Source organism: Homo sapiens, chromosome 16 (assembly GCF_000001405.40).
Source record: "Homo sapiens chromosome 16, GRCh38.p14 Primary Assembly".
Taxonomy (NCBI): domain Eukaryota; kingdom Metazoa; phylum Chordata; class Mammalia; order Primates; family Hominidae; genus Homo; species Homo sapiens.
Window position 1 is genome coordinate 56,315,005 of NC_000016.10, and position 26,367 is coordinate 56,341,371.

The window sequence follows — 26,367 nt, forward strand, 5'->3', positions numbered from 1 at the left end:
TAACAAAACAGTATGTGCCCACTCTGATGAATGGCACAGGAGCCAGTGTCCCCGGGGAAAGGATGAGGAGGCAAGAGGGATGAACCAGCCTGGGGATAGGCACCAGTTGGCCAACCCTGTCAACTTCAGGACTTGCCTATTCCCACCCTGCACCTTATGTGTAGCGCTGCATCTTCCATCTTTTCTCTTCCATAGCTGTGTTGCTAATGTCTCCCAGCCGAGGCGGCTGTAATTAAACTATTCACCATCGTCACTTCGTGTTCTGAAGAGATGAGGTCGGCCATTATCATTTTTCCTTCCCTTTGACTGAGCTCTGTGTGGGTAATTTCATTCTGCCTTGTTCATTTCTTAGAAATTTTGTCTATCCAATTTTAGTTCTTTTTTCCTCTTAGAACACTGGGCTCAGGGGAAAGGAGGTGGAGGATGAGGGCATCATGGATTTGGAAATTTCTGTCCCATTCACCTTAAAGCTTTTTTGGGACAGGATAGTGCCTGCTTGGTGGTGCAGCTATCCAGAGAGCCCCCATCCAGGAGAGATACCCAGGAGGTGTAGAACAGGGGTCTGGACCCACTGAGGGGAGAAGGGCACCAAGACAAAGAGGCACCACGTAAGGCTGTCCCAGAGGGGCAGTGGTTGGAGCTTTGGACAGACAGCGTCCCCACCCCTTTCCTGGTGGTCAGAAGCCTTGCTGACATAAAAACCCCCCTGCCTCTGGGGGCCCAGGACAGGCTTCTGTTGCTAATGAAAGTGAGCAGGGGCCAGGCACAGTGGATCACACCTGTAATCCCAGCACTTTGAGAGGCCAAGGCGGGCAGATCACGAGGTCAGGAGTTCGAGACCAGCCTGGCCAAGAGACCAGCCTGGCCAACATGGAGAAACCCCATCTCTACTAAAAATACAAAAATTAGCCGGGCATGGTGGCGGGCACCTGTAATCCCAGCTACTCGGGAGGCTGAGGCAGGAGAATTGCTTGAACCCGGGAGGCGGAGGTTGCAGTAGGCCAAAGATCTTGCCACTGCACTCCAGCCTGGGCAACAAAGTGAGACTCTGACTCAAAAAAAAAAAGAGTGAGCAGGGCCTCCATCCTGCGTTTCCTCTCCCCGGCGTGCCCTGCCAGGCCTCCACTAGCTCCCCTAGGGCCCCCATGCCCACTCTACACAGATGCTGGCAGGGCTGACAGCTCCCCTGCTCCTGCAGGAAGAGGCCAGGAGCCCACGCCACACAGAAAACGTGAATGTCCCAGGCCCCAACACATGGAAGGCCTGGCATTTCCTCTGCCAGGCTCTATGGGGAAGCATTTTCTCTCCATCAGGGCTGCCCCAGGATGGACACTGGCCTGCCCACCAGGGGTAGGGCACCCCCTCATAGGCATGACCAGCAACCTGGCCGAGAGGCTGTCTGTGCTTGAGCCCCTGAGCCATCTGTGTGCCCACAGGTGGCTGTCCTAAGTTTAACCTTCTAGGGCTGCATGACCCCACTGCTGTCCTCAGGCCCTGCTGATGGCTGCCAGAGCATCTGGTGCCTCCAGGACCCACTCTTGCCCGTCAAGGCCCTCAGTGTTGCCTGGGTCTCGCCTCACCTCTCTTTAATTCCCTCCTCACCTCCCGAGAAGCCCCATGTCTCCCACCATCCACAAACCTGTTCCTCCTGAGGCCCAGACCCTGCCTCCCTGGGGTGGCCTCCCCACTCCCCAGCTGGTGCTGATGGATCTGACGCCCCTAGTGGACTGCAGGCACGGGCAGGGCAGGGTCCAGTTCCTGCTGGCAGTTCTGTCCCCAGCACTCAGCCCTGGGCTTCACACAGAGACGTCCTCCAATCTGTGGGGAAGGAAGATTCTTAGGTCTCGCCCTGGCTCCTGCTTAACTGTGGCCAGGGCCAGGAGTGGGAAACTGCACCAGCCACTGACAGGTGGTTTCTGGGTGAAAACTTTCAGGTGTGCGGGAACCAGTGACAGGGCCTCAGAGGACTTGGGCCACAGTCGCCTTCCCACCCCCTGGCCCCTGGTTCTGGAAGGAACATAGTAAGCAGTTTCTGTCTAGGAAAAACCTGCTTCTCAGTCATTGGAAGATCCCTGAGTTCTGAGGCTGAAAAGGAAAGAAAGTTAGGATCAAAAAACCCAAGCCTTCTTTACTCCACAGGAGACATCCTGGGTCCAGGCAGGGAAGGTTCTCAGAAAGGCTTAGGACAAATCCTGGGGCATCCAGAAGGTTTGAACTGCTTTCTGAACCCAGGTGGGGACTTCAGGAACGCCTTGCTTAACACAGTCACAGACCCCTGACACAGAAGGGACCATGGGACAGAGGCAGGGAAAACCTCAGGGGCTGCTCTCCCTCCACCCCGATGTGTTCAAGGCACCAACTACTGAGCTGGGGAGATTCCCTTTGTCAAATGTTAAAGTCCTTAAGGCCCAGACCCCACTCAGTGTCTGCCACCTAGCAGGTGTAAATGGATACATAGTAGATGGGTGAATGGATGAGTGGATCAAGGAGAGAATGAATGGGTGGGAGGCGAGTTGGATCAAACAGGAGTGGATGAGTAACTAAGGGATAGATAGATGCCAGGGAAGAGTGGAGGGGATGGTGGTGGGTTGGAAGGGATGTGAGTGGATGGATGAACTGGGGTGGCTGATGGGTAGATGATGTATAGATGGGTAGGTGCACAAGGTTTGATAGGTAGGTATCCTGGGTAGGTGGTGCAGGATGTGTGGCTGGCTGGCTGGAGAAGGGATGATGGGTGGATTTGAAAGAAGAGAGTGGGAGGATCATCATCCTAAATGGAGAAGGAAAGCAAGATTAGAGATGGCACTGAATCCTTGGTTCTGCTGCAGGATCTTTTTGAGGAACCAGGAAGGTTCCCTTCCCTAAAGCAATGGTGAGCCCATGAGGTCCCCTACCTCCTCAAGAGACCCTGTGAGCTGAGGACGTTCTGTAGGCGCAGGCCTTGCTCAGAATCCTAAGCCCAAGCGAGGAAAGAGCCCCAGCCGCCAAATGCCTGCAGCACCCCAGTTGTTGCCACTACCAAAGACTGGTCACAAATGTCTAACGTGCGCCCGGGGTGGCAATTTGGTACCACTTCCACTGAGAGTCACAGGCAGAGAGCCATCTGCCAGCCCAAGGCCAGGAAAGCAGACCCCCGCCCCGGAAGGGAGTGCTCCCCACTGTTCTGACGCCCAGCTGCAGAGAGGGAGGGGCGGGGGGCTCTCTCCTGTGCCGGAGAGAACGGAGAGAACGTGACGGTGTTTCCTCAGATGTGCAGGCCTGGGTGGGAGCGCTAGTTACTAAGTACCCAGAATTCTTCGCCAGCTGGAATTGTAGTGGCCAGGCTGGGCCCCCCCAGCGGCTGGGGTCTCTCTGCCCCTTCGCGTTGAAGAGCAAGTCGGCAGCCCAAGGAAGGCGCGATGGCCGCCGGGCCCGGCCCTGCAATGCCTGGTCTCTGGCTCGGCGGGTCCAGCTCACGCTCCCTCTCCCATTGGCCTGTGCACTCCTGCCCCCTGGTGGGTACAGGGACAACTACAGTACATGGGGCAGGGTGGGGCCAGATGGAGGTTTTTCCCTGCAACTGGAGGACTGGGTTTGTGTGTGTGTGTGCGTGCGCGTGCATGTCTGCAGACTCACACTTCACTTGGCCTAAAAGATTAGAGATGGAGGAAAGCTCTGAATGATCCAAAGCAGCTCCTCAAATGGAAGGGGTTATTATTATAATTACTATGATTATTGTTATCAAGATTATCATGCTTGCCTAGAAAGTCTTGTACAAAGCAGGCTTATTTTGTGTCAGCTTGTTGTTTGTGTCTGAGGCATTTCATCTTTGCTTATAATAACTAACATTGGCAGGCTTCTTTCATGTTGCAAAGCTGTGTCACATCCTCACCCCGTTTTATCTGCACAAACAGCCCTGTGCAGTGGGGAGTAGTGAGAGAACAGAGGCTCAGAGGTTCAGTGTTCTGTCCAAGGTCACATGGCTAAAAAGATGCAGAAGCCAGGATTTGAACTTGGGTCACACAATGAAAATCCCTGTTCATTTCCCCATCATATCCTTGGCACCTCATCCCTTGAGAGGGAAGAGGCCTTTTATTAAGCTTTAGCTCCAAGCCTCTTTGCCACTGATATTTGCTGAAAAGCTTACATTGCCATGAAGAGAAGGGAAGGGTTTTGAAGACTCAAGTGTTAAAAGTGCAGTTTACCATCCCAGTTTCACACAAAGAATATACCTGGGCTTTTCCAAGTCCCTGCAGTACCTGGGGTGTGAGTGGAGAATGAGGTCTTCTATCCTTTTCGCTCAGGTTCTCTTGGTCACCACCACCACCCCTGGGGTGTGGCACAGGACAGACAGGCATCTGCTACATCTCTGAGAAGCGCGGAAGAAGGTGCTATGACAGGAGAAGCTGGTGCAGGGGGACTGTCTGTGTCCTGGTGGGTAGGAGCTGGGTACACAGGGGGCAGGGCCCTGACTGGGCTCTGGGAGCCTACGCCCCTCCTTGGAGCATGGGTTCTATCTCCAGGGACCAGCTGGCTGACTGGAGAGAGCTTTCTGGAAGCAGCACCCCTACCTGCTGCGCACCATGGGCTGTTATACTGATTGTCACCAGGGTGCTGCTTCCCCAGCACACTCGTGACCAGCCGCCAGCAGCACATGTCCTCGTGGCAGGACACAGGGCCTGTGTGCCAGGATAAGGGACCCCCTGTGTAATGCCAGTTCCGGAGCATCACTACCCTACCACCTCCCAGGCATCCTGCTCCCCAGCAACAGCCCAAAGCAACCCACTTCTGGGGGGTACCTGTACCATGCTCCCCACCCCTCTCAATGCTGGAATGTCCCCTGGGCCCTGTCTCCACAGGCCTCTTCCTCTCCTTGCCCACCCCTTTCTCCAGCTGCTGACAGGTGCCATGCAAAGGTTTACATAGGGGGTTCTCTGGAGCCTTGAGCTTCCCCAAAAGTGCCTCATCTCCACTGTGGCAGCTTTGAGCCATTTATTTGTCAACATTAAGAGTGAGATATCATTTAACCAGAAAGATTGTACTGGTTACTATGATAAAAATATGTTCATGCTGTCTTTAAATCATTGATGTGGAAAAGAGTCCTGTAGGTGGCCTTGAGAAATGACAACCTCTCCTGGCCTCCTGATCCTAAACCCATAAGAATGGCATCTCGCTTACTGTTAGCATTCAGAAATATACAGTCCCAGCCATGCCCCATAGAAGAGTCCCATCCTCCTCCCGTGTGCCCAATCATCATGAGGGTGGGCGGGTTGCTCTTATCTCTATGTGGCAGCCCTGGGCAGCCTATGACGTGGAGCCGTGTATACTCGTCCACTGGGTGGACAGCAGCGCAGCCCACCCCTCAGGGCCATCCCTGTGCTAAGTGCCCTCCGTTTGCTCACACAACAGCCTTGCAGAGAAAATGATGGTGCTGTCATCCCCATTTTGCAGGTGAGAACACTGAGCCTCAGAAAGATGATACCCCTTGCTCAAGCTGGAAGCTAAAGCTGGAGCTCAGGTCTGGGTAGCTCCTGAATTTACAGTCTGAAGCCCGCAGAAAGCTGCATGGAGCAGCACTAAAAGTCCAAGGAGGGAGTGAGCAAAGGAAGCTGGCAGAGGAGGCTCCTCGAAGGGTGTGGGGTGGCAAGAGAATCAGATGTTGGATTCCATGGTGGGTTCCAGCAGGTGCGGAATGATGAGGTGGGGGCATTCTGGGCCCTTAATGATTACAAAACCCATCCCACCTGCACCTATACATCCGAGGAAATGCAGTCAGGTTTTCCCTCACACACACAGCAGAGAGCCCCCTCCCTTCCTCTCTGTAGCTGGGCCTTAGAACCACTGTAACTGGGACAGTGGTGGGAAGAGGGACCCACTCCTTCATGCCTCAGGCAGACATGCATGTCCATGAACTCCTTACAGGACTGCCTGCTACTGAATCCCCCAGACTGCCTTTAGTGTGCAGCATGTATGTGGCCAGTGCTCACAACACAGCTAGTGCCATACCAGTCCCATGGGAGAGAGAGGGGCCACCCACACAGGAAACACCACACGGCATGTGGGCACTGTGCACGGGGTGTGGTCAGATAGTAAGAGAGGAGCGGGCTCAGAAGCCAGGAAAGCCAGTGGCGCTGCAGGAATGGGAGGGGGTCTTCCTGCAGGAGGTAGGCCACACATTAGCCTTGGCCGACTAGGGGGCATAATAGGACTATTTGGGGTACAAGTGCAAAAATAAACCAACCAAACAAACAAACAACATATCCTCCAATGGATTTTTAAAAGCAGGGGATTGATTGACTCAAGTAACTAGAAAGCCCAGAGGTCTCTGTGGCTGCAGGCGCAGCTGGATCCAGGCGTTGACATATTATGACTCAGGTGCCTCCCTCTCAGCTCTGCTTTCCTCAGTGTTGGCTGCACACTCAGAGGGGGCCTCCCTTTGAGAGCCTCTCTTTCCTAATAGCTGCTACAAGTGTCCTGGGGCTGGCTGGGACTAGAGACTGATTGTTAGTCTCATTTGACAAATAGGGATTCTTTGTCCACCCCAGACTCTTCACAGGCCAGTGAGATGGGTTGGCCAAGCCCAGAGCATGTGTCCACCCCTAGAATCAGGGGAGATTTAGCTCAACGCAGACCACTCAGACTGGGCTGGAGAAGGGTGCTTCACTTCTGGGAACTGGGGCTCTGCTGCCGTAAAACAAGAGAAAAAAGCCACAAAGGCAGAGAGGGCAGCTGCCCAGGAGAACAGGACTGGGCAGAGAGGAGCGGGCAGGCCTTCACTGCCACCTGGTAGCGGTCACTGCTGTCTCTCCTGCAGAACTGCCTGGGCGGGAGCACGCAGTGAGTTTTCTAAAGAAGTCAGCTCTAGCCGTCTGCCCCGCGTAAAATACTCACAGGCCAGACCTGGTATCTTCATCCATTCAGGCTACCATAGCAGAATACCATAAGCTGGGTGGCTTATACACAACAGAAATTTATTTCTCACAGTTCTGGAAGCTGGGAAGTTCAAGATGAAGGTGCTGGCAGATCACTATCAGGTGGGGGCTACTTTCTCTTAGACGGCCCCTTCTTGCTGCGTCCTCACGTGGTGGAAGGGGTGTGGGTCTTTGGGGCCTCTCTTATAAGGGCACTAACCCCCTTCCTGAGAGCTCCACCTTTAAGACCTAATCACCTCCCAAAGGCCCCATCTCCGAACGCCAGCATCTTGGGGGTTAGGATTTCAGCATAGGAATCTTAGGGGGACATAAACAATCAGACTACAGCACCTGGTGAGTCTGCCCAGAGAACATGCATGTGTTTTGTCACATCTCATATGGCCTGGGCACCCAGGCACGCTCTGACCAGCAAGAAACAGCAGTGTGATGGGGCCGTAGCAGAAAGAATGGTGCTAGAAAATACCCACCACACACAACCCATAGGCCCAGGAGGAGCCTTGGATGGGAAATTCAGGCTCAGCCTGAGCCCCGTCCCCCAGACCCCTAAAAGCAGGCAGACAAAGGAGCAGGGTCTCCCCTGGCTCTAGTAATTGCTTGTGAAGCCCACCATCCTTTTTTTTGTGCTGGCAAAGCCCTTCCTTCCCCTCAGGCCTGGCCCTTCTATCTTATGCATCTCCCTTCCCTCTGCTTGGGGGCTGGGCTGGGTACCCGTTAGTTCTCAGCTTGGGCCTCAGGTGGCCAGGCCTTGTCTGAGATGTGAAGTCCAGAGCTGCTGGCTGTGGCACAAGAGGAGGTCGACTTTGAGTCCAGGCTCTCCTTACTGGCGATGTGATCTTTAGCAAGCTCCCTCGCCTAAGCAGGATACCCACCTGCCGTAATCATTAAATGAGACACAAACTGACAAGAGCTGGAGGATAGATAGGATTGAGTGAGAAACTGGGGCCAAGCCTCATATTAAAATGCCAAGGATCCATACATCCTGCAGACGTGGCTGAGCACCAACTCTCTACCAAGCACGGTGTGAGGCCCAGGTACCATGAGAAATCAGGAAACGATCCCTGCCCTGAGGACCAGGCTCATACAGCACCAGCTGTACCATGGTGTTGCTGTGCGCTGTGGGAGCAGGGAGGTGGGCTTCCCTAAGGAGGTGACATTTGAGATAGGGTGGGACTGAGACCAGAGTGATCTGGACAGATGGAGCACCCAGCTTATTTGGGGAACAGGAGTAAGGCTGTATGGCTGGAGCCCCGTGAGAGGGGGCAAGTTGGAGGATGTCAGGACAGAGAGGCAGTCAGGGGCTTTGTAGGCCCCAAGGAGTCTGGAATGCGGGAATGATGGGCAGCTGTTGAAAGGAAGAGCTATACCCATTATGATTAAGTTTAACTGAATACCAGAAACTCTGGAAATTATGCCTTAAATAAGATAGAAATTGATTTAAGTATTAAGAAAACACACACTGAAGATAGTGTGAGGATGACTTCAGATAGTGTGGAGTCTGATCCTTGACCTAGGCTGTTTTTGGATCACTATTCCACTATCCCTAGGGTGTTGACCTTGTCTTCATGATCCCATTTAGTTGCTAGAGCTCCAGCCATCACATCCAAGTTCCAGGCATTAGGAAAGAGGGAATGAGAGAAAAAGGGTGCCCCTTACCTTTAAAACAACCTTTCCTGAGGCCTTACTTCACTTCAGCTTACCTTTCTTTGTGCAGAATTTGTCACATGGTCACAACTAGCTGTAAGCAAAAAAAAAAAAAAAATCCAGCCTTTTAGTTGGATATCAGTGTGCCCAACCAAAAATTTCTGGATTCTTTTTGTAAAGAAGAAGGGGAGAATTGATGTTAATAGGAAACTAATGGTCTCCTTCTGTGTGGGGAGCAGGCTGAAGAGGAGAAGGACCGAGGCAGGGAGCCCATGGGAGGGAACCATGGAGGCCTGGACTTAGAAGTCGGGGAGGAGATGAGGAGGAGCAGACAGCTGAAAGCAGATCTGAAAGAAGAACTGCAGGGCACTGGGCATGGGAAGGACTCAGTGAAATCAAGCAGGTCTCCTGGTCTTTGAATTTGAGCAGTTGAGCCAATGTGGAAGACAGGAGAGAGCGGGAAGGGCGGGGGGCCAGGGGGTGTTGCTGCCAGCACAGGACCCCTCCCCGTCCCACAACAGGAAGGCCTAGACCCCTGGGCTATCTGCTGGAGAATCCCAGGAAATCATTTATCCCAGATGTCCCCAAACTGTAGAATGCATCCTACTGGAGTGGGACCCATTAAATTCCAGGCCACACATGGAAGCTCAAACATGGGAGCACAGTAGCTTTGTGGCCTCGGTTTGTAAATCACACCGTCTTGAGTGTCCTCCTACAAAGCCTGTTGTGGCTCCAGGGCCCCCACATTAGCGTGTGATCCTCAGGTCCAGGGAAGGTCTTGCCTCGCAGGCGTCCCCAACCCTGCTCTCAGGTCCTGACTTGTTCTGACTCAGGTGCTCCACAGATCTACAGAAACCATGAAGGTAGGGCCCAAAGAAGGAAGAGTTGGAAAACTCTTGCCAGGTCCACCACCCGCATTCCTCAGATGGGAAAGTACCCCAAGATTGCCCGAGGTCAGCCAGGCGTGAGGAGCAGGATCGCTGCAGGTCCCTGACTCATAGGCCTTGCACTGTTTTTAGCCCCAGGTGGAGGCGCCACCCCTGCTCACCCACCTGCTGCTGCCCTGAGTCATCCCTGCCTGCCTGGGGCACCCAAAGCCCAGGCCCCAGGGCTGGCTTTCCAGGTCACTGCTGCCAGGGGGGCCCGGACAGCCTTCATGCCCAGTGAGGGCGAAGTCAGACCCCACGGGCTGGGTTGTTGGCGATACTGACCCTTGGATGCTGGGTCAGGTCAGCATGGGGACTTGGCCTTCCAGCCTCTGCACCATTGTAGCTTCCTTCCCAGGACAGGCAATGGGAGGGGCACAGCTTCCAGAACTTTCTCACTGCCCTTCTGCAGTGGACAGGCTCTGACATGTAAATAGCACTTTAGCTGGACAGCTCAATTCTGGAAGAGCTTTGGCCTCACACTTCTTTTGTACAGACCTTTCGTTGGCGACAAAACTTCCAGATGCTGACCTCATTTTCTTTGTGTCTCTCCCATCCCCAAGGATGCCTGCAGACTTTCAGTACCTCCCACTCACTTCTAGAGCCACGTGCCATGGGCTGGGCAGTCAGTCTCTCTCCTCCGGCCTAATCAGAGGGTTGGGAGTTGAAGGGGTTTGCGGCAGAAAAATTATCTAATAATAATACTGCATGCAGCTGGGCGCTGTGGCTCACGCCTGTAATCCCAACACTTTGGGAGGCCAAGGCGGGTGGATCACCTGAGGTTGGGAGTTCGAGACCAGCCTGACCAACATGGAGAAACCCCATCTCTACTAAAAGTACAAAATTAGCCGGGCGTGGTGGCACATGCCTGTAATCCCAGCTACTCAGGAGGTTAAGCCAGGAGAATCTCTTGAACCCAGGAGGCGGAGGTTGTGGTGAGCTGAGATCATGCCACTGCATTCCAGCCTGGGCAACAAGAGCAAAACTCCATCTCAAATTAATAATAATAATAATAATGCACACATGAATAAAATATCCCAATTCTGGAGAGCCCGTGAAATCGGGGAGATGGTAGGCCTGGTGTATGCGACTCTCAGACCCCAGTGGGGTCTCAGTCTCTGTTGGGCTCCAGGACTCGTGCGGTCTGAAACCAGGGGGAAGGCGGCTGGAGGAAGGACCCCAGCTCCCTGCCTCCACCTCCTCCAGTGCTGAGCATCTTGTCTTGGGCCTGGTAGTAGTCAGGGTCTCTGTGAGTGCAAGTGGCAGAAACTAACGGGATAGGGCTCACAGGACAGGTCACATGAAGGGTAAAGGGACCCAGCCTTGGGGACCTAAATACCATGACACTTCCCTGCTTCTTTCTGGTAGCTTTATTCTGAGAGTCTTCTTCATGGGTTGGGGGACGCTTGTCTCAGTGATACTAGCGACTCTGGGGCCACATTCTCCTAAGCTTCCCACTTTGAAAAATCCCAGGGAAAGACTACAGGTGGCCCAGCATGGTCACATGCTCACCAGCCACCTCCTCCACTCATCGACCCTCTTCCTTGCCTTGGCATCCCACACCTGGTTCCCAGGGCCTGGCATGGACTGGAAGCTGGCCTGGGCTCCACAGGACTCAGGGTCCAGCACACTCCTGTCCTGGCCCTGTGTTCCCAGCCATGCCTCTTCCTGTCGCTGGGACATCTCGCAGTGCCACTCTGCTGGTGCACACCCTGAGGCGTGGTGCCCCAGGCGGGCAGTAGTCACTAGGCAGGGGTGTTCTCAGGACCTGCTAGGATTCAGCCAGGAATAGAGGGGCCACTCGGATGGTGGTTACCTTGCATTTTGGTTAGGAGAGTGGTCTGAGCAAAGTCCTGTCAGCCACAGAGACATGTGAAGAGCAAGAAGACAGGGTATGTCTGGTGCCTGGGCTGAGACAGGGGCTTGCTGTCCTCAAGACAGCTTCTAGAGGTTTAGGTTCCTTTAGAAGCTTATCTGAGAAAAGGATTTGGGTGAGACAAGGAGTTTATTTGGGAGGTCATTTCAGGAAGCACCGAGGAAGTGGGGAAGCCACACAGGAAGGGAGGGAAGCCATGAAGGGGAGCTCATGGGTGGCCTGCCACGTTGGCTGCTGGGGCTCCATCCCATGGGGATCCTGTCTGAATGTGTAGCTTGTCTCAGAATTGCCTCCCTGGGAGGGCAAGGAAGCCGGGTTATTTGCCCATTCCTGTCTGTCCGGGGCACCGACTCAAACTGCAGCCAGCTATACACCTGAGGCAGTGAGCTCCATGGGCAGAGGCAGGAGGGCGGCCCGGGGCAGCACCTGCTCTGCTCTCACCTACTCTGCGTTGGACATTAAAGGCTGTGGCTGCCTCAGACGGAGCACATATCTTCCTGGGCAAGGCCACTTCAGCTGTGGTCTAGACCCCTCTACCAGGCCCTGTCAGCCGTCCAGGGAGCTCTCGGCACAGGTGGGTCTGATCATAGAGGCTGGGCCTGGAGTCCGAAGGCACCTCATCTTGAGTCCCACCCCTGCCACTCACCATCGGGTTGTTAAGTGAGTGCCTTCCTCTCTGTGGCCCTCAATTTCCCCACTATGAAGTGGAGATGGTAATACTACAGCAACTGCTGTATTAGCTGTGCCACAGCAATGCTGTCTACTGAGCCTCTCCTAAACCCAGCCACTTAGTTCTGCAGATCAGAGACCCAGGGCAGGCTCCACTCTGTACCAGGCTCCCCGAGTCCTCTTCCCAGGATGAATGACAGAGCCCGGGCGTATTCATGGCGATGGCAGGGCCCACGAGGACCAGCAGAAACACGGCCTCTCAAGGAGCTGGCACAGTGCCACTGCTGCACCATTCTGTGGGCCACGGCGAGTCCTGTGCCATACTCAACATCAAGCAGACAGGACATATACTCAGCCTTTAGCAGGAGGAGCTGAAGAGGCGCAGGGCAAAGGGTGTGGGCAGAGGAGGGGTGAAAGGCCCAACGACACAGCTCTTGCCACTCGCTCCTGAGGTGGGGGAGGTTCTGAGGACGGAGTGTGTTCACCAAATCCTTTGTACGCTAAGTACTACTCCCGTGTGCAAGGTGGCGGTGACGGTGCAGTCCTGGGATGTCTGCAGGAGCCTTCTTATCTTCAAAGACCACCACACTCCTGGTTGTGATGTTACATGCATGTGATTGTAGTCTTTGAAAAGGCGACCCCACTTTGGTATCCAGGATGAGGGGAAGGGGAAGAAACCTGTTAATTATGCAGTACTTTTTCTGTAATTTCAAGAAGGCTCAGCCTACACGTGTGCACCTTAAGCAAATTCATCTACACCCACTCAGACAAGGAGGAAGGGAGGAGGCAGAGGAGGAGAGTGCTCCAAGCTCATTACCTGTCCTTTCCCATTTCCATGTTTCACCTGACCTAGGAGCTTCCCCTGCCCCCAGAGAAAGGTAGGCCCCAGGTCACAAACAAATCAAGAAAAATTAATAAAATGGACTTTTGGCTTTGAGCAGTCCAAGGGCCAAAGTTCTTGAGATTTAGTGTTGGCATGAGATATTTTTGCCATCTGCACTAACTTGGCAACCAGCCCCTCCCCTCCCCCAGTCCTGAGGCACAGCCCCGCTGTGGCCCATCCCTCAGCTAACCGGAATTCTCTACCGAAACGTCTGCTCCTCTACATAGCCCAGTTCTAGGGACTGCATTCCACCCTGTGTAAGAAGTATAGAAAATTACAGCTCAGCCAAGAACATTGATTTTTTTCTCCCCCGAACAAAATAACCGAGTTTTCAGGATGAAAGCAGAGCTGCTGGTTGAGTTGGAGGGTGGAGAGCAGAGCCAGGCCCACTCTGCCTTCCTGCTGGTTGAGTTGGAGAGTGGAGAACAGAGCCGGGCCCACTCTCCCTTCCTGCCCCAGAAAACTCTGGGGCCCCATGGGCTGCAGCTTGGAGCTCCTGCTTTAGGACATCCATGTGGTAGAAGGCCCCACGGGCCCCAGGAACCCCAACTGTGCATGCTCAGGTCGTGGCCCTCCCTGGAGCAGGCTGTGGGCTGAGCTGCGGTCCTGCTGCACTGGCTGGGCTCTCATCACAGTCCCCGCTAGGGGAGAGCCCTTGGCTGGCAGAGGTCTTCTGTCCCCACCAAAGCGTCAAAGCCCACCATCCACCTCTCCTCACAGGCTGACGCCAAGATGGTGTGTGATGTGGTGAGTCGGATGGAAGACACCGAGCCCTTCTCTGCAGAGCTGCTTTCTGCCATGATGCGGCTCTGGGGCGACTCAGGAATCCAAGAGTGCTTCAACCGGTCCCGGGAGTATCAGCTCAACGACTCTGCCAAATAGTGAGTGTCCCAGCGGGCGCATGGCCTGGAGCCGGGCAGTGATGCGGGAGTGGAAGGGACTGGTGATGGGGATTGGCAGAGCAAGGAGGATTCTCGGCTGAGGTCACGCCTGCCGGGAGATGTTCTCCCATAGGTAGAGGGTGTCAGGAAGGAATGAGAAGGGGCCTCTCTTCCTGCACCCCAGGAGGAGAAAGAGGCCAGAGGAGGCAGAGGACGCAAGAGACAACCAAACAGTGGAAATTCCCAGAGGGCCGGGACCTTGTCACTGGCTTGTCCTGGAGAGTGCCTGGCACTGCAAAAAGACAGCTTTCAAGTGTAGCAGCTTTGTTTTTTTATAGGGAGCCCCTGACCGCATAAATACAAACCAAAACAACAGCCATATAGGCAGAAAAGAAATGGTGCCATTTTGTTTTATTTTAGAAAAAATAATAAGCTTTCCATTCCCCATCTTTAAAATTAAGAATAAGGAATATGTAAGTCTAATTAATATAATAAATGTATACTTTAATACTATTTATAACTAAATAAGGGGGATGACAGGAGGGCAGGAGGACGGAAGGAAGAAAGGAAGGGGAGAGAGGGAGAAAGAAGAGGACAGAAGAGAAGACGGAGAGGTGGGAAGTGGTAAAAGCTGGAGCTGGTTAGAAGGTGCTCCCGGCTCTTCCCATCACAGCAGGTCACAGGTCCACTGGCTGCAGCTTTATCACTCTAGGCATCTCCAAGGACATCCTCACTGCTTCCGTGCCCTTGGCCTCTAGATTGGAGGCTCCAGAGCCCTGGGATGGTCAGCGTTGGTCAGGGACATGTCTTCTGTCATGGAGATACTGGGATTGCCCCCTTGGCTTTCGGGAAATGCACCCCACCTTTGCAATTGCAATCTGGTACCCATACATTCAGTGGGGGCTTTCTGCAAGGAGCCCTTGAGCTTTATCCCACTAGCTGGGAAGATTCTGACATGATCCAGTCCAGCCATTTTCACCAGGTCTCAGCTGGGGCCTTTTTGCCTCCAGGGGACATTCAGCAACATCGGGAGACATTTTTGATGGCTGCAGCTAGAGTGGTGCTCCCGGCAGCTAGCAGGTAGAGGCCAGAGATGCTGTTAAACACCCCATAGTGTGCAGGACGGCCCCCACAACAAAGAGTTACGTGGCCCCAAACATCCATAGTGCCAAGATTAAGAAACCCTGATCTACGCAATGCCAATGGACAGAGGCTGAGGCCAATGTTCACTCCTGGACATTTCCACGGGCCACATGGCAGCCAACAGACTAGGGACTTGAGCAAGGCCGGGAGCGGCTTCCCATTTCTGCACACCTAGATTGTCCAGAGGGCAAATGCCGAAGTCCTGTGAGTCCCAGGTGATGACTACCTAGGCCCCCGGGCCTGATGAGCTCCCAGGGACACCCTGGTGGTCAGGGCAGTGAGCCCAGAAGCTCAGTGTCCACCATTCCGTATGCACAAATCACAGACCAGAGCTAGGCAGGAGAGAGTGACTTTCAGCTGCCCTCCTCCCTTCTTCCACTCCCTGTCCCTGCCCTGGAGTCCAGGGCCTCCTCCCCGAGGGCCAGCAAGACCCTCAAGGGCCTTTAGGGCCAGCTGGCCCAAATCTGTCTTCTAGTGGCTCAGCAAATTCTGCTCTCCACTTACATTTTTACCCATTTCACTAATTATAACATGAATCCATTACCAAAAAAAAATTAAACAAATGCAGAGGGATGTAAAATGAGAAGTAATCTTCCTACTCCCCCCACCAGCCCTGCCCCTCCCACTTTTACCCACTTCCATTTATTTGTCCCAGTGGCATCCAGAAAAACTTGATCCTCTGACTCAAAATAGTATTTACTGCCACCCACTCTGGAATCGAGGGAGCTCAGCTCACCTTCCTTCCTTCCATCGCTCTCCACCTTCACCTCCGGCTTTTTGCTAGTTACAGGATTATTTTTAGTTCTTCCGGTGCTTACCTTTATAACTTTAAATAAGAAACTTGAGTCAGTATTTGTCAACTCCCCACCAAGTAAGCTGAGGAAATTCTCCTCCCTGCAGCCTCATCTCTGCCTTCTTTCAAATTTTCCACTTCCCAGGTTGATGATGTTACCATTCTCTTCTGTCACTGTGGCTGGGCCTTCCGTGTCTCCCCTCTGGGAGAGGGCAGGAAAGACAGGGGACACACAGGTGGCCAGGGCCGGAAGGGCCTGGCACATTTCCTGTCTTAGCAGTTAGACCTCAGCTTCTGACAAAGTCTTGGGCCCAGTATAGAAAGCAGATCAGAGTAGGTTTGTTGTGCTGGAAAGGAGAGGGAGGACTCACAGGGCTGCCACAGCACGTGCTTCCAGGGGGTGCCATTGACACCCTAATGCCCCAACCACCAAAGCACTTCTCTGCCCAGCCCTTTACAGGGGAGGGACCAGGGCACAGGCTCCTGAGCAGGCTCTTGGTGCACCCCGGCCTCTGTGAACAGGGCTGGCTCTCCCTTCTGGATAACTACCTAGAGGCAGGTCCCAGAAACCCTGGGCACATCCAACCAGGGGCTGTGAAAGGTGCTCTGGGGCCTGGTTGGCATTGGCTTTCCTCAAATCCAGTTCCCCACTGAGTTGTCCATGCTGGCGTCCGACGTTTCCTCTCCTCACCTTCTCTCTTGACCCCACTCCTATCGAGCTCTTGCTCCTCCGCCTGCTGAGATGGCTCATAGCCCAGTCCTATCCTGGGGGCTGCTCCATCAGCCTCCTCCCACTCAGGGTTCAGGGTTCAGTCCCCTAGTACCTGGTACCTCCTTTCACTCCCAGCCCCCGCCTCCTCTCGGGCCGCCCTTTCCAGACTCCCTCGATGCCTCCTGCCCACCCACCCAGGCAACTGGTGATGGGGGAGGTCTGCTGGGGGCTGCTGTATCCCGTCCCCAAGCTCCATCCCAGAAGCACCTCCTCTCAAGGCCTGGTGCCTGGTGACCTTCTCCTGTCTCGTTTTAAACACCTTGTACACTTGGACAACTCTCAAATTCATATCGCCAGCCCAGCCCTCCCTCCTGACTTCTGCCTACTCAGTGCCTGTTTGGACATCAAATGAGTCTCAAGTTAACATGAGCCCGTGGAACCCCTGGCTCCCATCCTCCCACTAGAAGCTGCTCTGTGTGCTCCTCCCTCCCTCTAAATGTGTCTCATTCCACCACGTGGAGGTATCTCTACTTCTGCTCGTCCTCCTGTATCCCACACCGAGGCCACCAGCAGATGCAGCTCCCCTGGCAGGTACATCAGATTCTGACCACTCACACCCTCCACAGCCACCCCCACTGTGCCAGTGCCATCTGGTGACGACAGCAGCTCTGCAGGCCCCACCCGCTGACCTGCTCTCATGGCAGCAACAGGGCCGTTGTCAACATGCTTCTGGCCAGAACCCTCGAGGGGCTCCCATCTCACTCAGAGCAAAAGCTCAAGCCCTGACAATGACCTCAAGGGCCTGCTTGCCCCAGCCGGACTCTGGCCACCCTCACCTCCACCACCTTCCCCAGCCTCACCCACCACCTGGCCCCTCCACGTGTGCTTCCTGCCGCCATGCCTGCCAGTGTTTCCACTGGGCCACTCGAGGCCCACTTGCTCCCTCATTCCCCTCAGTCTCCCCTATCCAGACGCCTTCCCCAACCACCCTGCATCAAATAGCAGCCCCCAGCAGCTCTCCCCCATCACTAATAGCCTGATTCGTTCTCTCACACTACCTCCTGACATATCATCTCTCTGACTCTTCTGTTTACCACCTCACACACGTGTGCACACTCACTTGGAACACAGGCCCTGGGAAGGTGGGGCTGTGTCGACTGCCCCATCCCCAGCTCCTGGAACAGTGGCTAGGTGGGATGGACAGCAGGTGCACAGTCAGCCTTCCCGACTGGGTTGTTAAGCAGTTCTCCCACACCTTGCCCACCCTCCACAGCCGTCTCCTTGCATGAGGCTCGGCCAGCACAGAGAGGCCAGAGGGCCAGGTTGCCCATCTAAAGGAGGTTTGCCCTGGCTGGGAAAGGAAGAGCAGGACCAAACGCTTCCAGGCTGGTGTCCAGCTGCAGATGACAGCAGAGGGCGTCCTCACAGCTTGGAAGCAGAGGTCATGGGCGCCAGGGCGGGGCAGGCACAGAGGCTTGGGAGAGGCTCCTTCTGGCTGAGACCAGAGCCTGCCCAGATGCCACTGGCTGGCGAGGAGGCTGTGAGGCCGGGGGCGTGTACAGGTCTGCTCTGCAGCCTCGGCTCTCTCACCCCATCCCCACACCGTTCCTGTCCACGGAGGGCAGTCAGGCTCAGGAGAGGAGGCCAGGAGTCCTGTTTAAATTTTTTTTCTGGATTTTTAAAATGCTGATGATGTCCAGTTTAAGAGCGTGGGGTCTGGAGCCAGTCAGAACTGGGCTGGAATCCCAGCCAAGTGCATTTTCTTTTTTTCTTTTTTTTTTTTTTCTCCCCGAGACAGAGTCTTGCTCTGTCACCCAGGCTGGAGTACAGTGGCACGATCTCAACTCACTGCAACCTCCGCCTCCTGGGTTGAAGCGATTCTCCTGCCTCAGCCTCCTGAGTGCTGGGATTATAGGCACCTGCCACCAGGCCCAGCTAATTTTTGCATTTTTAGTAGAGATGGGGTTTCACCATGTTGGCCAGGATGGTCTCAAAATCCTGACCTCATGATCCGCCCACCTTGGCCTCCCAAAGTGCTGGGATTACAGGCGTGAGCCACCGCACCCGGCTGCCAAGTTCATTTTCTCGCAGTGTGACTTCAAGCTTACCTCCCTGAGCCTTGGAAGCCACCCTTCTGTTTTCTTTTCTTAGGGGCATTCTCACAAGGATTGTCACTGGGTTCTATCAGTGAACACCCTAGCTGGCGAAGTCATCTGCCCTTTCCAGCCCTGTGGACATCCATGAGCTGGTCAGCATGCCCATCTCTCATGCAGTGGTAACTGCAGGTCCAGCCAGCAAGCTGGCCCCCAGCAGGTCCTGGAGCAGATGCAGCCTGGGACCCCACATCGTTCTGTGGTTCAGACACTTGGGGCTCCTCCCTGTGGGCTGCTTGTGGTTTGCCCCGGCAGCAGGGATGGGTGGCCTGGCAGGCTCCATGGATCACTGAGTCTTCCTTCAGGCCTGGCCCAGCTCCCCACTTCCTGATTTCCCAGATCCTACCCTGGCTTTAGGTTCAAACTTAACCCACAATGAACCCCAAAGCCCTTGCAGGCAGCGTCCTCTGAGTGCTTGGCCTGAGGCCTGGGCAGGTGACTTGCAAAAGCCTGGTCTGTCCCCACAGCAGGAGGTAGCAGGGGTAAAGAGCCCTGATTCCAAAGACCGGGTCCCAGGGAGGCCCAGCCGCTGTATGGCTGTGCAGCCCTGAGCCTCCAAGAGCATCAAATTGGAAGGGGCACACAGACCCCTTGGTAAGTGAGAAGGAAGTGTGGAGAAGGCAGGGAACTGCTCAGGGGCCGCTGAAGCCCCAGACAGTAATAAAATTATGGCCTCTGGAGCCAAGGGTCCGGGTCACAGCCTCAGGCAAGGTACTTACCTTCGATGAGCCCCAGTTTTAGTACATTTAACTCAGGGAAATTACACATGAAACATGGTTACACATGCAAAGAATAGAACCTATCTGTTGGCCATTATTATCTTTTAAATGAAAAAATGACAAAACAGTATTATAATAAACATGGTAGTCTCATATAAAAGCTTGATCTTGTCTGAGTGTCCCGGGAGCTGCATGCGTAGCCCTTTTGGCTGTGAATGAGTGCGTGAGGCCAAGACCCCTAAGACCCACTTCCTCAGTCGCCCCCACTCCCTATGGCCTGGAATGGAGGTGATGTCTTTTCCACAGTGACCTGGAGGGGCCCTGACCGAGACTGGACTCTGAAGATGGGTGGCCTGGCCAGTCCCGAACAGTGTCCAGGCATTTGGTCCATAGTCCCCTGTTTGTTGCCATCCTCAGCTACCTGGACAGCCTGGATCGGATTGGGGCCGCCGACTACCAGCCCACCGAGCAGGACATCCTCCGAACCAGGGTCAAAACCACTGGCATCGTAGAAACCCACTTCACATTCAAGAACCTCCACTTCAGGTGAGGCCCAGAGAGGCCCCCAGGCCCTGGCGAGGGCTAAGATGGGACATGCCCAGCCTCTCAGCGCATTGCGTTTACAGCGCCCAAACATCATCCTGCCCCAGGGAACCTGCGGGCTGGGGCAGGCAGCTAGATACTAGAAGGAACCTGTCTGTGTTTCTGCCAAGGTTAGGGGCTGGAGTGAGCAGGGAGGCTTTCTGGAAGAAGATTCCCAGAGTGGGGCTGTGAGGAACAGGGAGGATTTGGACAAGGAGGGGCAGCCTGTCCCTGAGGTGACTTCCAAGGAGGAGGAGGAGGTGGGCTACCAGGGGGCCCTTCCAAGGTCACCTTGGGGGGAGGAGCCAAGAGTGGGGCTGGGTAAGCCCAAGCTACCTCTGTGAGACCCTGAGGACCCAAGTAATCCCAGAGCTGGAAGGAGCAGAGAGAGCTGACCCACCCTCTCCTAGTACGCTTGGGAAGCTGAGGCCTGACAAGAGCAGGGCTTTTCCCAGGCACAGAGCACAGCTAGAACCCAGGGGCTCTGGGGCCTCAGAGCAGGGGCCTGACGGGTGAGCTGGTTCCCAGGGTCCTGCTGCAGCGCTGTGTCCCCACCTGCAGTAACATGCGTGCACTGAGGCCTGCTCCGTCCTGTGGGGAAGAGAGGCCAGCAGAGAAGGGGAGGGCAGGGACCCCTGCTGGGAGAGCTGGATTCTAATATTCCCTGCCTCCCATGTCCCCAACTCCTGCCCGCTCCTGTTCAGACTGAGGGGCCGAGGCTCTGGGCCCAGGAACCCCTAGGCCTCCGCAGATCTGGGGAGCAAAACCTTGGGCAGAGCAGCCCTGAGGGGCCTCTCTTGCCTTCCCAGGCTCCTTGGTCTCTCCTGCTCCCCCACTGGGAGCACAGGATGGGGATCTCAGCTCAACCCAGCCCAGCAAGGCGGGGTCTGAGAATAAGCATTCTGGAGGGGCCACAGAGGCCATCTGCCAACGCCCCTGCATTTCAGATGGGGAGGTGGGATCCAGGGGAGGATCCCCTGATTGATGGAATGAGAACCAGACCCATTCCTTGCTCTGAGCCCACACTAATCTCTGCCTGCAGTCACTCCGTTGTGTCCGGTGGGACCAGAGATCCTTCCCTGTCCCCCTCTGGCAGGCTGTGTGTCAGCAGGCATCCCAGATCTAGGAGGCTACAGGACTCCTCGCTCTGGGGATTGGGGTGGGAGACTGACCTTTTACTTCCAGGACGTAAGTCCCACCTGCCCACAGTCTCTTCCAGAATTTTTGTGCCCCCTCGGGAGTAGAGTCTGAGAGGGGGAAGAGGCCAGGCTCTGATCTGCCAGAAAGGGGCCGTACTGGGCAGAGGTGAGAGCGCCAGCTTTGTCCACAGCCAGACCCAGCTCCACCACAGCTGGACTCTCGCCAGCTTGGGCATGTCCTAAGCCCATGGGTGGCTCACTTCTGCCATCCACATAACAGGTGACATCTCCTGCCTGCCTCCCTCCCAGGCTGGTTTGGAGTTTGCCCAGAGCAAACCCAGGAAGGAATAGACTGAGAGGAGGGTCCTCATGCGAGGAGGACTCTCAGAGGCACTTCCTGGGGGTGGCTCAGGTGCGCCCTCTTAGTAAAATGCTCCTCAGATGCAAGGGCAGGTCTTTGAGTCATGATCTGTGAGCACAGCCAGTCCCAGGACAGACTCCAGGGGTAGTGCCTGGGGATGGCAGTGATCCAGCTGTCTGTCATCACCTGGAGTGACAAGGTCTTCTAGTGAGGGCTTTTAGCAAGGCTCTGAGCACCATGGCCCCCATCCTCTGCCTCTCAGCGTGCTCACAGCTTAATCCCCAGGCAGCCCTCACCTGCCTGGACCCTGCGCCTACCAGCTCCCTGCCTCCTACAGGCTGTTTGACGTCGGAGGCCAGCGATCTGAACGCAAGAAGTGGATCCATTGCTTCGAGGACGTCACGGCCATCATTTTCTGTGTCGCGCTCAGCGGCTATGACCAGGTGCTCCACGAAGACGAAACCACGGTGAGTGGCCTGGGCCCCCCGGGCAGGGGGCAGCGCTGAGGAGACGGCCGCAGGATAGGCCAGCCCTCTGAGCACTGGGCCTCGGGTGCCCACAATGGCTCTGGGGTCCAGCCAGCTGTTGTGGTTAGAGGTTTCCATCATGGACAGGCCGTGCCGGCACTCCACCAATTCTGTATTGCCAAGGCAAATGCCTCATGATGCCAGTGTGGCAGAGCCTGTGTATGCAACCTGATCACACAGAGCCGTGCAGAATGTGCCTCTTCCATAAACTTGGTGGAGTCACAGAGGCCATCAGGCCATAGCAAATTTAAGCAAACCCTAAAAAAACCAGGAGGCAGCCAAGCAAGAATGTACAGGCAACAGAAATAGCAGTCTTAGCCTGACAGCCATCCCTGGGGCACTGGCGTCAGATGCTGCTGAAGCAGCATGGGGCCGGGGATGCTGAGGGAGAGGTGGGGAGGGCCCAGGATGCTGCAGGAGAGTTGCGTGGGGTTGGGGGTGCTGGGGAGCAGTGTGTGGGGCTGATGGGCCAGGAAGGGCAATGGGGATGAGGCATGCTGGTGAGTGACAGTCGTGGCTCTGGGCTCCTTTGCCAAATGCCAGACCAGGCTCCTACCTTCTGTCTTGCGTCACATTCAGCCTAGGGCCTCAGTGAGGGGACATTCCCCTGGGAGAGTGCAGCCTTCCTCTGGGTCTAGTCCTGGCTCTGCTACTCACTGGCTTGCTGCTGAATTTAGGCAGCACCCTTTCTGGCTCAGTTACTATTTTCCATAAAAGGGAGATAATAATAGTACCTGCCTGTGGGGGGCTGTTGGCAGTGGGGTGGGTGATGCGTGTGCAGCGCTCTGGAGCTGTTTCTGGGACAGCAGCGCCAAGCTGGTGGTTGTACAGTTGCTGGTGATTGCCCTGAGCCTGCAGGTCCACTGCGTGGTCCCCTTCTGGGCTGCAGCCCGCCAGGCACCGAGCATGGCCCACAGGGTCACTGGAGACAAGCCCCAACACTCCTGACAGCGGGGCCCATAGGCTATGGGGTCACAGCCTGGCGTCTGTCATCTCCTTCTGTCTGGAACACATGCAAATCCCCCACCCCACGCCTCTGAAGGCTGGCACCGAGGGTTTGAGGTTGGAGGTGGGGCTTGTTGTCATGCTGGGCCTTGAGCGAGGCCTGTCCTCTCTCTGGGTCTGTTTCCTCGTCATTTCTGGCCCAGCTGGTCCACTGGGCTTTGTGAGGATGGGATCAACTTTGGGGTGTGGGCTACGGGGCACAGTGCTATAGGGAGGAGGAGCCGCCGCCCTGAGGGGCTTACACAGAGTGATGGGGCTTTGGGCTGGTGGTGTGGGTAGTCTGGACCCGTTCCGTGTACAGGCTTACCCACCTGACTCTTCCTATTTCAGGCCCACCTGTACCCCTGACTTGGGTTTCTGCTGTAATTGTTCTCAATGGCATCTGCAGGCAGTGATGTCAGTCACCAGCCCAGTCTTGATGCTGAGTGGGGCAAGGGTGGATGCGCTTCCTGGGCCGTGCTTGGACCCAGACTCACTGACCACCCAAAGCCCAGGTCAGCTTCCTGGCCATGTGCCCCTCACAGTGACTACCCAGACATTTCCCACTCCCCACTGCTAGACTCTATGCTATTACGGCCACTGCTCCAACTCCTGGGGTCTGAGCTCCACTTGGCTCATCTTTTTTCCCCCATGTCCACCACGGTTTCAAAGAGAGCAAAGGAGCTAGAAGCAGGAAGCCAGGAGGGCCCTTCCCCCTGGAATCCAGCCTCTCCCTGGACCTGCCCTGCCAGGCCTGTGGATGGCTTCAACCCAAGTCCCAGGCCCACCGGCCATGGGGCTGGGCTCTCGCTCACCTCTGGAAGATGGAAGCAAGGGACGTCTGGGTGAGCCTAGCAGCCACAGGCCCTGAGCTCTGCAGCCCATGGGTCCCCAGTGAGCATGAGCCTGGTGCTGGGCCTGGCACTGGGTGACCTTCCAGCCTGCGGGCCTTGCTGCCTGGAGCACTTGCCCTCCGGTCTTCTCCACCTTCTCTCACCTCCCTTTTTCCCCATTTCCCCCACCCTTCCACACAAGGGCTGGAGCAGAGGACCTTGGAGAAGCCAAAGCAAATGGAGCCAAGGTCACAGGCAGGCTCTTCCTGTGTCCTTCCTTCCCCAAGGCTGGCCACCTTTGCAGCCCGGGGAAGAGTAGCAGCTCGTGCAGGGAATGGGGATGACTTTGCAACCTGACAGCAGCCACAAAGGCAGCTCATTGCCGTGGTGGCAGCAAGAACAATACTGGCGCTGTAGAACTAAGCAGTCATCGCCGTGCGCTGGGGGCGCATGCAGAGGTGGACAGCTTGGGAGTCAGACAGATCTGGTCCAGGGTCTAGCATCACCCCTGCCGCCTGTGTGATCATGGGCAACCGCCCCACCCTGCCCGGGCCTGCACCTCCTCCTCTGTAGATGGTGACAATGGTAGAATGGACCACCGGGCTAAAAGCTGTAAAAGTGCCTGTACACAGGAATCATCACTCAGTGAATAGCTCCTGTGGCTACAACATTCAGATGCCATGGCTAGAGGTCAGGTTCTAGGATGTGGGAGCTCTGTCTGCCTCAGGGAGGCAAGAGCCAGGCCCCAGGAACTCAGGCCTTGGTCCTCAGCCATCCTCTCTGGTCAGCGCTGTGCATCCCTCTCTGGCCTGGGGTGAGAGCCTGCAACAAAGGTGTCTGGAAGCAGCTTCTGGAGCCAGGCCAGGAGAGCCCTGGGGCTAGTGGCTGCCACTGGCCATCCAGCCGCCCTGTCCGCTGCATCCCGGGAGCCCGAGAGCCTGGTCCTGGCCTCGTACCTGCTCTCAGCACCGCCCAGCCGGGCCTGCGGCTGCCACAGCTTCTCCACTACCACGGTCGCCTCCACTGCCTGCAGGGCCTTATCTTGCCAAACCAAGGCCAAAACCAGTTCTGAGAGACCCTCCAAGCCCGGAAGGTATGAAGCACCTCCCTCCAACTGAATCCATCAGCTAAGAGTTGAAAGCAGCAGGTTCTCAGGGCACCGCTGGGTGACTTTGCTGTGATGCCTGCCCAGCCCGCCCCTGCGCCCACACTCCTCTCCAGCCACTTGGCCTGGGCTCATCCCACCCATCCTGCATCTCTTGCCCTGCAATCCACAGGCCCAGGATGGCCATGGCCCCTGTGAGCCCGCACCGGGCTCTCTGCAGGAGCTAGCCAGGATGCCCTGGCCCTGAGACTGGTTGAACCAATTTTTCAGTATTTTTCTCTCTTTCTCTTGTTGGGTTTTTATCTTCTCTGTTTTCATCTGTTTTGCTGTGTTTCATCTTGGGGTTCCTCTGGCCCCTCTACTGAGAAACCAGCCCCAACAACCAGTTCTCCCAGAGCCTCCCCCGCTCCAGCCCACCAACGAGACCACCAACCACACCAAGGCCACAGCAAGCTCACCCCCGAGACGCTATTCCCTGGTGTCTGCTTCCAACTCGGGATTAATTCGAGGATCTCTTAGTCCTCAGTTAATGTTTCCCAACTGAATGCGTGCACCCTTCCAACCTTGCTGTCAAAACCGAATGAGACCCTGGTAGAGAAATCTGCATGAGCAGGGTTCCGCGCAGATGCGTTCGGTGGTGGTTGCGGCCCCTGCGCTGTACGTGCATGGTGCATGTCCTCTCCGTGAGCTGGAGCCTCTCCAGTGACCTCACTGCCCCCACCTGGGGCCAGCTCTCTTTGGAAGGGGGCAGCATCCCCCAACCCTGCCCGGCCCTGCTCCGCCCCGCCCTGCCTGCGTGTGGAATGAAACAGGACCACGTCCCGTCTGTCCTTGTGGGTCCTCCCGTCTCCGTCCTGGTGGTCTCCGTCCCGGTGGTGCATCCAGCCACATTGGTGGACCTTCCCTTTGCTTGTCCCGCTGTGTCATTGGCCGCGGTGGGTCAGGGCCCTGGATGCTGCCGCCCCTCACTCACCCCTCCACTCTGTTGCAGAACCGCATGCACGAATCCCTGAAGCTTTTTGACAGCATCTGCAACAACAAATGGTTCACAGACACGTCCATCATCCTGTTTCTTAACAAGAAGGACATATTTGAAGAGAAGATCAAGAAGTCCCCGCTCACCATCTGCTTTCCTGAATATACAGGTAGAGACCCCTCCAGGGACAGCAGGCCCCCGAGGGAGCGGGCCCCGTTCCCAAAGCCCAGTCCACCCTTCCTGTGCTCTGTGGATGCCCCTGACTCTGCCACAGAGAATCCACACAAACGGTCCCCCACCCTGCCCCCAGATTGTGCTCTAGAGAGGAGGGGCAGCTAGCCGGGGCTTCCTCATCAGGGAAAGCCGGTAGAGCCCTGGCTCTGCCACTTACGAGCTGTGTGACCATGGCGGCCTCTGGGAGCCTGAGCTCCACTGTCTGCGCACAGGGGCTCTCTGTGACGAGACGAGCAAACGCCGAGAAGATGAGGGGCGGGGCACAGAGGCTTGGAGTTAGGCAGCCCAAGGTTTATGCCCCAGCTCCGCCACTCACAAG

General features: G+C 55.8%; 1 protein-coding gene across 4 annotated transcripts in view, besides 1 other annotated feature; it reads left to right on the forward strand.

Annotated features, from left to right (window-relative positions):
• Positions 1-26,367, forward strand: part of GNAO1 (G protein subunit alpha o1) — a 165,956-nt gene that overhangs the window by 123,516 nt on the left and 16,073 nt on the right. For 2 of the 4 annotated variants that reach the window (XR_007064866.1, NM_138736.3), the window contains exons 4-7: positions 13,627-13,787; positions 19,725-19,853; positions 21,727-21,856; positions 25,830-25,983. Coding sequence is in view for 3 of the 4 variants with exons in the window: in NM_138736.3 (NP_620073.2) it covers positions 13,627-13,787; positions 19,725-19,853; positions 21,727-21,856; positions 25,830-25,983 (574 nt within the window). In the remaining variant the exon portion in view is untranslated. The remainder of the gene's footprint in view (positions 1-13,626; positions 13,788-19,724; positions 19,854-21,726; positions 21,857-25,829; positions 25,984-26,367) is intronic. The other 2 variants (NM_020988.3, XM_011523003.4) reach the window with 1 other exon arrangement.
• Positions 1,533-1,827: a silencer, noted in NCBI's record as "tiled region #3823; K562 Repressive non-DNase unmatched - State 20:ReprD". NCBI's record gives its function as "represses a minimal TATA promoter and a strong SV40 promoter by Sharpr-MPRA in K562 cells {active_cell/tissue: K562}" and the evidence as "EXISTENCE:reporter gene assay evidence [ECO:0000049][PMID:27701403]".